This window comes from Homo sapiens, chromosome 12, assembly GCF_000001405.40.
Source record: "Homo sapiens chromosome 12, GRCh38.p14 Primary Assembly".
Taxonomy (NCBI): domain Eukaryota; kingdom Metazoa; phylum Chordata; class Mammalia; order Primates; family Hominidae; genus Homo; species Homo sapiens.
This window is the reverse complement of record NC_000012.12, coordinates 45411631-45425635: the sequence shown is the minus strand read 5'-3', so window position 1 is coordinate 45425635 and position 14005 is coordinate 45411631. Positions and strand designations below refer to the sequence as shown.

General features: G+C 39.8%; 1 protein-coding gene and 1 long non-coding RNA gene across 7 annotated transcripts in view; one reads left to right on the top strand and one right to left on the bottom strand.

The window, feature by feature from the left end:
- ANO6 (anoctamin 6) overlaps positions 1-14005 on the bottom strand; it is a 224310-nt gene that overhangs the window by 14769 nt on the left and 195536 nt on the right. For all 6 annotated transcript variants that reach the window (NM_001142679.2, NM_001204803.2, NM_001025356.3 and 3 more), the window contains 3 exons: positions 8732-8937; positions 4363-4565; positions 2574-2679 (listed from right to left, as the gene is read on the bottom strand). In NM_001142679.2, the coding sequence (NP_001136151.1) occupies positions 2574-2679; positions 4363-4565; positions 8732-8937 (515 nt within the window). The remainder of the gene's footprint in view (positions 1-2573; positions 2680-4362; positions 4566-8731; positions 8938-14005) is intronic.
- Positions 1-14005, top strand: part of LOC105369743 (uncharacterized) — a 178153-nt gene that overhangs the window by 143209 nt on the left and 20939 nt on the right. The window lies entirely within an intron of this gene.

Below are 14005 nucleotides of genomic sequence, written 5' to 3'. Positions count from 1 at the left end.
TCAAACTTCTGCTGTAATTTAAGGTTTATAGCTACCTTCTTTAGCATTCTGGAGATAGACTACTCTCTTCTGGCTTCCGTTGTTACTGTTGAAAAGCTTACTCCCATTCTCGCCTTAGTTTTCTCTGTTAGTCATCAGTTTTTTCCCTCCGGTTACTTTCAAGGTCTTATTTTTGGTGTGCCGCATTTTCCTTGCAATATGTGTAAGTGGATTTCTTTATTCTGTTTGATGCATGTCATGCTTTCTGATCTGTGAACTCTTTCATTTCTTTTATCCATGTTCAGCTTCTTTAAGTTAGTATTTCTCATTCTTCCATATCACTTAACATCTCTTTCATATTTTCTATTTTCTTATCTCCCTGTGATATATCAGGAGTAATTTTTTCAGACCTATCTTCCAATTCACAAATTCTCTCTTCAGATTTGCATAAACTTCTGTTTAATCCATGTTTTTTTCCATTTCACCAATGATTTTATTTTAATTTCTAGAAGTTCCATTTAGTTTTTTCAAAATTGCCTTATAATTTTTAGTTTCTTGCTTTTTAAATTCTACCCATAATTATTTAAATGTTTTCACATACAGTTAATTTATATTCCTTATCTGACAGTTCAAACAAACCCTTGAGGTTACTGAGGGTCCAAATCAGTTGTTTCCTGCTGAACCTCACACGTTTTTTTGTTTTTTTTTTAAATCACCTCTTGTTATTGACCATCTTTGGTTGTGTGCTCATATTTGATTAGCTTGATCTGAGAAAAACCTGGGGACATTTTTCTCCAGAGAAGATACACACTTCTTTCTACTGAGGCAAATGCAGCCCTGTTTTGGGTCTCTGGCTTATCCAGGAATCTCAAGCTCAGTTTTTCCACCTCCCTTCTGACCCAAGGCATGGTCTCCTTGAGCTCCAAGATAGAGGCACTGATGGGTACCAGCTTGCTCTTTGAGACCTCCAGCACTACAAGAGTGCTTATTGCTCACTGCCCTATTAAAGCCCATCACCTAGGCCGGGCGCAGTGGCTCATGCCTATAATCCTAGCACTTTGGGAGGCCGAGGAGGGCAGATCACTTGAGGTCAGGAGTTTGAGACCAGCCTGGCCAATATGGTGAAACCCCATCTCTACTAAAAATATAAAATTAGCCAGGTGTGGTAGTGTGCACCTGTAGTCCCAGGTACTTGGGAGGCTGAGGCAGGAGAATTGGCTGAACCTGGAGGCAGAGGTTGCAGTGAGCTAAGATCATGGCATCATACTCCAGCCTGGGCAACAGAGTGAGACTCTGTCTTTAAAAAAAAAAAAAAAAAAAAAAAAAAAACCCATCACCTAGTTTTCCCTCTCTCTGTAGATTCTCTTCCCTTCCAGTGGGCTCAGCAATGCAAAGGAATTATCTAGCTGGCTCTAGAAGTTTTGCAGTGGGGATGGTCCACTGCATATGTAAGGACAACATATAATCTACCACAATATCAAAAGGAGAAGGCCAATCACTTCATCAACTACATGTTTAAATAGAAACCTGTGACTCTTGCTGATATGTCAGATACTGACATGAGTCAGATACTAACCGTGAGTTACTTGTCTTCCCTGTTTAATGTTTGGTAGCTATTTAAAAAAAAAAAAAAGAACTAGTATAAGTACCAAAAATCCAGGTAGTCTACCCCACTTCTTCTCTGCTGATTGGTTTTATTCAGAGCAAATGAAATCCACCTGCCTCAGCCCCTCTTGCTGCTAGGAAAACCACATGCTATAGTTCTGGTCAATGAGATGTAGGTGGAAGTCCACTGTAGGGGCTTCTGGCAAAGCATTCTTTCCTGACAAAAAGGACTGGATGTGGTTAGCATCGCCCTTCTTCCTGCTTTGCATGTAATTTTTTAACTGGAATTTCAGCAGCCATAAAGGGGACACATATATGAGAGCAAACCCAAGAATTGGATAGACTGCTTCCATCAGTGAACTGGTATTGATTGATTCAGGAGCAACCACAGACTTTCATGAACTCTATCATATAGGTTGTGGGGAGGGGAATCAACCTTATTTAAGCCACCATAGACTGCATTTTCTGTTTCTTGCAGCTTAATACAATCCTATCTACCATACCAATTAAGCAATTAAACTCTGATACTTTGTAATTTGGCAGTAGTTAACTCACTCTGCATAGGAAGCACAGTTGGCTAGATCAATTACAAATTTATAGTTGCCTTAGTAATTTTTCAGAGCTGGTCAATTTCAAACTCTCCCAGCAATAAAAGTTTCTCACAGGCAGAGATCACATCATCGTACCCATCTTGCATAAGCCCTTTCATAGCCCAACATGCTGCCCAGTGCCCTACATTTTAAAAAGTTAGTAATGAATGAAATTGAATCCCCTTTGCGCATAACATGCTTTTAAACTTTAAAAGCAGATAATGCTCTCGTTAATGAAGTTGAGTATTTTCAGGTCAATACTGATTAACATATTTCCTAAAATATTAGCAAGTGATAAGAAGAAAGTATCACACATGTTAAGTATGGAGTTGGCAACACTTAATGGAAGGTCTGCAAATACACATCCTTATAAACTGTTTGAAAGCATACTTTTCCTACCTCCATGACAATGATAAAAGCCAGCTTGGCTGCAATCACATGCCAATAGTAGATGTTGTGTTTATACTCCTGGGGGTGTCCAGGTGGGTATCGGAAATCACGATACCTGAAAACAAAATGGAGACATATTGGGAGACAAATCTTTTTGACTGAATACTGTAAACAAAGGCCCCATTTAAAAAGAGGTCATGCCGGGTGCAGTGGCTCATGCCTGTAATCCTAGCACTTTGGGAGGCTGAGGCATGTGGATCACTTGAGGCCAGGAGTGCGACACCAGCCTGGCCACTATGGTAAAACCCCGTCTCTACTAAAAATACAAAAATTAGCCAGGTGTGGTAGCACGTGCTTGTAATCGCAGCTATTTGGTGGCTGAGGCATGAGAATTGCTTGAACCCGAGAGGTGAAGGTTGCAGGGAGCTGATATGGTGTCACTGCACTCCTGTCTGGGCAACAGAGCAGGACGCTGTCTCAAAAAAAAAAAAAAAAGTCATATTTGATTCAATGCTCTTTTAAACTGGACATCACATACATTTTCTCTTAAAGCTCAATTTGGTAACAAAGCCCCAAAATAACTACAGTAGTGCCTCATTTAATATTTAATCAGAGAATGATGGTAATAACATGGTCCATCTTTGTAGAAAAGAATCCATCTTTATAAAAGAACTAAAGTTTTAAATTTGTTCTCCCAACATTTATCCCTGTTTTCTCAAAACAATTCCTGTTTTGGGGATCATATTTATAAATTTATTTATATAATGGTATCATCAGGGTTCACTCAGCTATGGGACTCTCTCTCCTCATACAGAGTGCTATCTGCTTGTTATAATTTTTTACCTAATTCTTTGTTGTCAGATATCAAGTGTTAACTGCTGTTAGTGTATCTTCCTCAGGTAGGACATCTCTAATTTTATGCCTGTAAGCTATTAAACCTAGAAGAGTTTAATTTCTGATTAGAATTGTGGAAAGTAAGAATAAGCAGATTTGATGCAGAATTGTAAAGAGGCTCCACTAGGTGTAACACAAACATTTATTTTGGGCTTATTTCTGGTTTCCTGGTTGCATCATTGAGAATCTGAGTTAGTGAAGGCTTTGAGGAGTTGGACTAAATAAACTTTAAAGCCTCCTATTTTAGGTAAAACTCTATGGTCCAGGAAAAAAGGTTGATGACCTACAGTTCACAAACTTTATCAATTGGTAATTTACCTGGTACATACTGTCCACTGTTGAACTCACCAGCCATTAAAATCGATGCAGAGAACTTTGGAATATTTTTAGATAATACTGTTCAGCTGAGATTTCACATCTCTTATCTTTGTATGTCCCTGTTATGTGAGGTGCTAGTTTGCCATCATTCAATATCTTCAGATTGTGCTTGAATAACACAATAGTATTAACAACTGAATTATCTTGGTTCTTGGACCTCTTGAAGTTTCTCTATTTCTATGACTTTTCTTTGGAATCAATCTCCCTGTAATCGTTTGAAACTCTCAACTTTAAATCTTTATGGTTTGGTCTGAAAGTTTTACCCCTGGTCTGAAAGTTTTACCCCTAGTCTTCATTAACTTTTTAATAAATATACATATATATACATTTTCTGAGTTTCACTCAAGAGAAAGCTATGGGGAAAAAATGTCTCTAGCAGCTTGATTTAAATGACACCAAAGCACCTGATTGATCCTGAAGTTATAAAGAAATAAAAATTTTAAAAATGACACCAAACAGAATTAAGTCACAAGAAAAACCCTTTTAAAGATGAAGTGCATTTTTAAACAAGTAAAGCAGAACTTGCCTGCATGTGGTATGGTTACCCAGGTCAGAGTACGGGTTTCCCTTGCTTTTGTTTTTGAAGTCTGCGACTTTGAAGATGGAGAGAGTGTTGTTGATGTACCCTTCCATGGTGTAGGAAGTGTGGTCCCCGTAGGGAGGGACGGAGAAGGACCAGTAGTACACTAGGCGGGGGATCATGTCCGACGTGAAAGCTATGATCATGGCCTATTTTGGGAGAAAAACAAAGCGAAAATGAAGTTATAGTTTTTTGTTTTTGAGACGGAGTCTCGCTCTTGCTGCCCAGGCTGCATGGCACGATCTCGGCTCACTGCAACCTCCACCTCTTGGGTTCAAAAAATTCTCCTGCCTCAGCCTCCTGAGTAGCTGGGATTACAGGCACGTGCCACCACGCCTGGCTAATTTTTGTACTTTTAGTAGAGACAGGGTTTTGTCATGTTGGCCAGGCTGGTCTTGAACTCCTGGTCTCGAACTCCTGGTCTCAGGTGATCTGCCCACCTCAGCCTCCCAAAGTGCTGGGATTACAGGCGTGAGCCACTGCACCTGGCCGAAGTTATAGTTTGTATAGGTCAGGTTAACAAATATGCCAGAATTACTATTTTCATCGTGTCAATTTTTTTTAAAGATTCAGAAATCTTAATTTTTTCTTAACTGCAAAATATATGCAGATAGTGAGATAAGATCTTGCTCTGTTGCCCAGGCTGGAGTGCACTGGCATGATCACAGCTCACTGTAACCTCGAACTCCTTGGTTCAAGTGATCCTCCTGAGTAGCTAGAATTACAGGTACACTCCACCATGCCTGGCTAATCTTTAAACATTTTTTGTAGAGATAGGGTCTTACTATGTTGTCTAGCCTAGTCTGGAACTCCTGGCCTCAAGCAATCCTCTCAGCCTCTCCAAGTGCTGGGATTATAGGTACGAGCCACTGATCTCAGCCTAGAAGACTTGCACATGTAATCAGAGTCAACATTATGAAAATAATTGAGCTTTATATAATTGATTTAGCTCTTTTCATAAACACAGAAGGTAAACTGCATGTTTTCCTTGATCTAAATTTAAATAATGACCTCTAAGTTCACTTTTTTCCTGTATAGTATTATGACTTGTTTACACAAGTCAAACCATGACCTGATTTGTTTTAAACTCTCAGTACATGGTTATGTTTGTTGCTTCATTATAGAGTGTGAGCATTTATTAATTTTAACAAAATTTGGGTAGTAGAATTATATTGGGGTTGTCCCATTCATAGTCAAACAATAATGTCTGTTTAGTCTGATCTAGTATCTAAGTCTCTAAACTTCAAAAAGATTAAGTGGATGAAGTTATGAAAATTATAAGTTGAACAACAACATACAGAAAATTTAGTATGTTCCTAGATAAAAGGAGTAAATATGGGCCAATCATAAACCTGTGTATCAGAGAGACATCTATTAGGAGGTAAAGCTATTCTGAATTATATGAATTTTCTCTAAAATTCTTTAATTTGGGCTTTAAACTCTCCAGTGTGTAAAACTGGTTGGAAGGAAGGAGAAAGGATTTTTACTTTAAACCAAATTCTATGTGAATAAAACAGCTAAATGATTGTCATTGATGAAGCAGAAAAGTAGACATGTTTTTGGCTTAACATGATTTTTAATAGTATTCATCTGAACATATGGTTTAGGCATAGTGAGACCACAAACCAAATCTCAGGCAAAGCAAGAAAAAACAATTAGGGGGCTTTTCTATTACAAAATTTCCCTCACTAGAACCAGCTTTGTCATTTCCTCTGATGTGAAAAATGTACATATACATATGAGTGTGTTTCTGCCTGTCAGTACTGGGGAGCCACACGAATATTTTACCTTTTTTCCCTCAGATTTCAATAGATTAAATTTTGCTATTATCATTTAACTCAACTATATCTTTTTATAGAATCACTGGCAGATGTGCATCAGAAGCTACAAAAAATTCCAACAAGGAAGATAATTCTATTGTCTTCTGACAAGATACTTTTCTTCCTGAATTGAGCTGCTCTGAGAGACATGCTGCAAGAGCACAAATAAATGCAGTGTGTTTCATTTCCCATGCTGTTCTGCACACAGTTTTCCATTTATATAAAAATAAATTAAAATTGGTCTTCAATAACAGATGCTCTGGCATGATACAACAATGTCAATTCAGCTTATTTATTGAACCAGCAGCTTTAAAATGAATGATTTTATACCAAATTCCTGCTTGATGCCCACTCTCATCCTGGTGGTTATTCTCTTTTTGTAGACAGTAGGTTGTGAGATACACACTGGGTGTTTGAGGGAATAAGACACACATTTAATGCTTGCACAAGCACACATATAAACATAGATGTCTATGTATGTGGATGTATAACTGCCATCTTGGAAGTATAACAAATCCTAATATGGAAAAAGGGATTGCCCATAGTTTAATCAATGTCACAAATCTAATAAGCAGTTTTCCTAGGTTAAGTGATAAGAAAAAGCCATTATTGGATAAGAACCAATAGCACCAATTAGCCAGAGTGAATGTCTGTACACATACACACACTGAGTCGCCTTGGAAACAGCCAATCCTCCATCTGTGCTCATGGAGTAGAGCCATGGCATGGATGCTGGGAAAAGGTACCTAATACAATCAATCTAGAATGCTTGAGGAATAGGGAGAGTTTGAGTCAACTGAATTTTCTGGTTAGTTGAAGGTAAAATAAAAACCCTTTTAGTTTCAAACTTTGTTGCTGAAAATTTTCTTAAAGCACACAAGTCCATGTTCTTGTCCAGCTTAGTGTACTAGAGCATATTGAACGTGCTGTCATGTTCATTGTTTTATGACTGAGGAACTTGAAAGGCCTCACTGCCATTTTTCTAAACAGCAGTCTTCATTTTGCAGCACAGTAGATGTTGAAGGTGTGGGGTACCTGGGTGAAAGGAAACTGACATACCCCAGTAGTTGGTTTTTGTGTGCGATTTGCAACTTTCTCCAAATAGTACAGATAGCATGCAATTCAGATAAATGTACGGTTCTGGGGTAGGGATGACAGCTAGGTTCCAGATAACTTGTTTTATTGTATAAAACTGTAACCATTGTCCAGACAGTGGTTGCTTTTGGAATTCCTGTGCCTCCAATTGGGGTACCTGTCAGAGTCCTCACAGCGTTACTGTTAATAACAATGATGAGTAATGAAGATGATAAAATAACAGCAGCTAACATTCAATAGAAACGAGGCTTCATGCATTAACTCAATGAATTCCCTAACACTGTGGTTGGTATGTACTATTCTTATGATATGTGGTAGGGAATTAATAATTTTACAAATAATAAAATAGGGCTCTGGAGTGGTAAGGCCTGGCTCAAGATCATGCAGCTCAGAGCTACAGTGCTGGGAAGTGGAGTTCGGGTCTACCTGACTCTAGAGCCTACAGTGCTCAGTAACTTCCCTCATCCAGAGCCTAAACTACAGGCACTGCCAACTTCTGTTGTTTTGGCTGGGGACTCAGGGAAGATGTGGCTTAAGAAAACAAAACTGGGGAATCACTTTGTTAGGGAGGTTCACCTGGGAGTGAGACTGTCAGTGAAATATGGGAGGAAATGGCCCTAGTTTTGGGATACTTCTTGGGAAGGTGGTCCTCTAATGGGCTGGCATGAAAATTGCATTGCCTGAGAACTTCCTGTGTGCCTGTACATAAAAATGACACTGTTCAGATGGCCCATAATCAATGAATACAGGCTGTAAACAACTGAGTTCTGTCCCCTCACAGCTGGGATACATACAGGGCATGAGGCTGCTTCAGCCAATGACCAAAGCATGGTGAGCAAAGACCTAAGGGTGGGGTGGGAAGGGTGATGAAACCCACCCACCTTCCTCCTTTAAGAGCTGCTGCTCTGGAGTCAAGGAAGGTAATTAGGAGTGCACAAAGTGTTTATACTTCACCATCAGAGTCAATATTTTAGGGTGATGCTTTGGAATATGTAGTAGTAAAATATGGTAGAATGATCTTATTTTAGGGCCCTCAAACTCTAAATGAACAGATTTCTACCCACATTATAAAAAAAACATTTTCTGATAACTCCTTTTATAGTTATGTGAGGATTAAAAGTGTTAGTACTTCTTATCATTACCATATTTCATACTGAATAAAAACTTTAGCAAATGAGCAATAACAGTACCTGTATAGGAGGTCTTGACAGTTAAAAATAATTATATACAAAATGAAAATACATTTAACAAGTGGTTATATATAGCAACTATATCATTTATGTGGATGACAGACTTAGCATCTTCCTCTCATTTTAAAAAACACTAAACATTTGATTCCTTAGGTAGCAAATCTAATGCATCTTCAAGGTCTTTACTCTGTAAAGCTTAGGTCTACTCACATTGGTCACCACAGCCAGAATTGCTATTCCTTGCATGATGGGCTGCCATGCTCCAATGTCTTGGGCTTTCTCTGGTACCAGGCGTCTAAACTGGGTGGTCAGTTTCCATGCGTCCACTCTTATTTCCAATATATTGTTCACGAGAGCCAACAGAGGGGCCAGTGGAAAAGAGGCCACAAATAAGGTGACGAACCCAAACTGAATAACTGTCAATGGAATGGACACACATCATGGAGTGGTGGTGGATGGAAGGACAACATATTTTCCTTTACTCTTGAAAGAGAAAGGCAAACGAACTAAATCCCAGAGAGAAAACACATCTGTGGTAAATAATAATTTAGTGTTCAACAGTGAAAGAATTCAAACAAAACACAAATATAAAATCTCTGGAAAGAAGATTAATTATAGCCTGTTTCTTTCACATGTATACACTTAATAGGAACAATATATTTAGACATCTTTAGTCAACCAGAATTATTCGCTGGTAATAAACTTGAGACATCATAAGCATATTATTCATTCTCAGTGTTGAAATAGAATGTTGAAAGAAGATTTGTGGTTTAGGATTTTTTTTTTAAGAAAAAAGAAATATTGTGGCATTATCTAACAAGTTAAAGACAAAAAGAAATGGACCCATGGGAAGGCTATACTTAGAGAACGTTAGAAGAAATATGCTGAGAACAAGCAAATGAGTGAGCTCCCCTGAGTCTGCAAATGCAAATGCAGTGCATTCAGAGAATTTGACAGTAATAGAAATCACAGAAATATATGTGATAAAAGTGTCTTAATAAATTATAATATCCTTCCTTAAGAATCTTGAAGTTAGTTGCAGTCCTTGTGGTCATAATAAGTCAAAATTTGAGTGGTGGCTTAGAAGTTCTTTTCTCCTTGTTTGTAATTGACACGGCCTTATTAAAAATGGGGCAGCAGAGATTTTGGGGTAAGTGATACCACGGAGAGGAAGAAGTAAGAAAATATCCTCAAGTTTTAGACCCTGCCCTCCTAACTGGCAGACCTTCAGAGGAAACATCTACAGATATGTAACTAAAACTGTGGATGGGAGGAAAACATAGAGTTCCATTAGGCCTCATGCTCAGACAAGGGGCAGGGATGACTCTGTCAGGAAGGGCAAGGCTGTGGAGGGTGTGGCGAGGCAAGCAGAGCTGGCATTTGCTTCTGGTCAGAGAGCCAAAGGGCATGTTGCAGAAGAGCAGACAGGGCTAGAAGGATCCAGTAAGTCCCACAGGCCAGGCAGGAACACTCATGCAGAGAAGTCAGCCAGGCAAGGACCAGAGTTGGTGATGCTACAGAGTCATGAGCAGCAGCAATAAGCAGTGATGTCAACTTCCCTATGACTCACCCAACCCTAAATAACTCATCAGCCCGCAGGGCATGCAAGTAATAGCCATGTGTGGAGTCAGCCCGTCAACTGTGGTAAACTAGCAAGCGTGTGTCCTATGGAAAGGGACAGCTCATAGTTGCCATGTTGGAATGAGGGCTCCATGTTGCCAGATCTCCTGATTGTTCAAGAGAAGCCAGAGATTAGGATTATGTTATCAGTAAACCTTGTTAAAAATCCAAAAGAGAAAAGATACCATTTATAATGACAACAAAAGCATAAACTATTTAGAAATAAATTAATGAGAAAACTAAGACCACTATGATAATTGACTTAAGAAAAAACAAATAATGATGAATGAATGAGTGGTAGGATGTGCCAAACTCTTGATTGGGCAAACTTGAATTCAGGGACATATCAAATTTTTTTTCCACAAAATAATTTAGAATTCTAATGTAAATTCTGTTAGTAATCCCAAATGGATTTAAGAAAAAAAAGCTGACAGGTCAGCCAGGCATGGCAGCTAATCTCTGTAATCCCAGCACTTTGGGAGGCTGAGGCGGGAGGATTATTTGAGCCCAGGAGTTTGAGACCAGCCTAGGCAACATACCCTGTCTCTACAAAAAATACAAAAATTAGCTGGGCATGGTGGTACGAGCCTGTAGTCTCAGCTACCCAGGAGGATGAGGTGGGAGGATTGCTTTAGATGAGGAGGCGGAGGTTGCAGTGAGCCGGGATTGTGCCACTGCACTCCAGCCTGGGCAACAGGGCGAGACCCTGTCTTTCAAAGAAAGAAAAGAAAAGCTGAAAAGTGATACTAAAGTTCTTCAAGAAATATAAACAGGTAAAATAATGAACAGGGATGTTTGCATAGACAGTATTGGGAACATTGTGAAAAAATAAAATGGGATAGCTCTGGGAGATATTGAGTGTATTATAATGCTATGGTAATTGAAACAGTTTAGAACTAGTATATGAATAGATAGTATGAATTAACCAGGGTGAATTTTAAGAGGAGATGCAAATATTCATGGGTTTTTATATATTATAAAGTGATACTTTGAAGCAGTGGATGCAAGTATTGACACAGCTAGCTAAGTCATGGGAAAAATTGGTATGGGGCCATCACTTCTGACACCAAAATAAATTCCAGATGGATTAAAAATATTATATTAAAAATAAAACACCAGAAAAAGCCCATATAATTTGTTCTGATATTCAAGTGAGAAAAATTTTATAAGCAACTTTTGAAACCAAGAATAACAACAACAAAAAGTCAACGCAAAACACCCACTGAAAAAAAAACAACCCTTGCCTGCAACTTTTTCATAATCCTATACTGCTCTCTAATGCTTTCTCTGCTTGCTTCTACATGTTACAGTTGAGTTTTCTGAAGGAAGTGTCCACCTTCACAACAAGTGGTAGAGTAACTACTCCCTGAAGCCCCGCATCCTGCTGAGACCCTCACCACTGCACTGGACCTACTCTTGCTAACTTTGCCAGTGGCTGCATGTTCATAAGCTGATGTTCCTTTTCAGTCCTGATTTTTGTGATTTCTTGTAACATGGCCATAAGAAATGTACGGCCAAGATTTATGTGACATGGTCAAACAGTCCCCCTGCTGTGGAATATTTGTTTCCCCTTGATTTCTTTTTTACTTAGTTTTAAAAAGTCAAAATATATATTGAAAAACAAAAAAACTAAAAAAGCCCTACCTAGCTATAGCACTGCTTCCACTTCCCAACCCAGGTCTAGCAATTAGGACTTGTGTAGGTGCTGGCTCTTCCTTTCTTCCCCCTCTGTATTTCCCATTATGCCCCTTTTCCATCATGTCCAAATTCCTCTGAAGCAACGTTATCATCTCCCAAGCCTTCTCTGTGTTGACACAACTCTGCTAGACTTCTTCCCACTGCTCTGCTCTTCTTTTTCTTTGTGAGCCTCCCTCACTCTTCACTCTTCAAATGTCCCTTTACCCCCGGGCCTCATCATCAATTCTCTGTCCATCTCTCTTGATATTCCTGCTAGGCATGCCTGATTCACCCTCGTGGCCTCACCCATGGCTCCTCTGAGCTCCTGACTGTTGTGTCCAACTTTCTAATGGACATTGCCTTTCAGATGTTTTCATGCTAAAAATATCCAACACTTAGGCATTTCCTAGAGAACAGCTCCTCTCCTTATGTTCTGCCCTGCATATATGGTCTCCTGGAAGTTATCTTAATTTTATTCCTCATCTGCTATGCAATTCACCGCTTTAACACTTACCAAATCCATCTCCCTCTCTCTACTCCTATGCCCACTATTTAGGCACCTATCACTTGTTGTCTGGGTTACCTGCTGTAGCCTCCTAAATCATCTCCCTCCCACCACGAATCTCATCCAAAATATTATCTTCCATTCTGCTGCGTGATTGATCTTATTCCACATAAATGTTATGCAGTTATCTTGTTTACAAATATTCCAGTGGATCCTAATTTCTTTAAGAATAAAGTTCAAGTCCTCAGGCTAAGCACACCAGACCCATCATGATATGGCCCCTGCCTACCTGATATTCCCACCTGTGAGTCCTTTGTTCACTTGCCATTCTTTGATCAAGCTATTGTACTTTTAAATATGTCCACCTCTCCACACAAAATGTCCATTCTCTTCACCATACTTTAGATAACTAACTTCCATTCACCCTTCAAAATCCAGTTCAAATATCACCTGCTCAAGGAAGTCTGATTAGCATTCTCCTTAACCATGCACCAAGCGCTGAGCTCCGTGAGGGGAGGGACCAAGTGCCCTGGTATCCCCAGCAACTGAGAGTGTTTGGCACAGCAAGTGCTTAATAAATGTTTAATGGATGAATGAGTGAATGAATGAATGAACAAATGAAGAGCTGGAGGACTGCAAATCCTCCCAATTACCTAGTTGCCCTTTTGGAAAGCTCATCCTGCAAAGGTTAGGAGACTTCATGGCAGGTGATGGGCTCGAACCAAGCAGAGATGAGAGCATGAAGGGAAGAAGGCCTGAGTCCTGGAGAGTGCAGCAGAGGCATCGGTGGGTTCAGCATAGGAGGAAGAAAAAGAAAGGGGTACGAGGAGCTGCTGAAGAATAGCTGATCTTCATTACATGGAGAAAATCATATATGAAGGTCATTGTTTTAGCAGATTTTAAAAAATTAACTTGGAGACAGATGAAAGTGAGATCAAGGTACCACGGCAAGGGTGGAAGAGGCAGTGCCAGAGACAAACAGGGCCCACTCATCACTTCAGTGCACTCTGTTTATGGCACTTGCCCACCAGGAAGGCCTCATCAAGTTCTCAGGACACCTGTGTCTGCAGTACATTACTGAGTACAAAACAGTATTTATGGCTTCCAGGTTTGAATACAGACAACTACGTTTATTATGTTCTGTGTCTGTGTACTTGGAGTCAGGAACACTCTTAGAGAAGCAATTTGGGTTAACAGCTCAGAGTTACTCCAATAATCTCAAAGGATGGTGGGAAATTCACTAAATAAAAAACGTTTCACTCAAACAGGTCATACAGAACTTGGTGAGAAGTGGGTGAAGGATGTTAATGTGAAATCAACTAACAGTTTTATATGTGTGTTGGAGCTCCAAGTTCAAGTTGCTTAAATGTTTATGAGTATAAGGTTCCAGGCACTGGCGCTCTAGCAGAGGACGCAGTAGCTGCCTCCATCGGGCTCGGTGCAATGGGGAGAGAGGCAGGCACAGAGCGTATACCACCACGGCAGGCAGCAGGTGCTGCTAACACCTAGAAGAAAAGAGCAGCAAAGCTGTCTGAAAAGTTCAGGGGCCCAGCTGAGGCTCAGCAGGACTTGTCAGGTAGGAAAGAAGGAAAGAGAGTTGAGCCTGGGTGCAAGGCCAAGCAAGCCTGGAGGCTTGCTTTCCGGAAGATGTTTCCCTTAAGCAGTTAGAGCCACAATTTAAA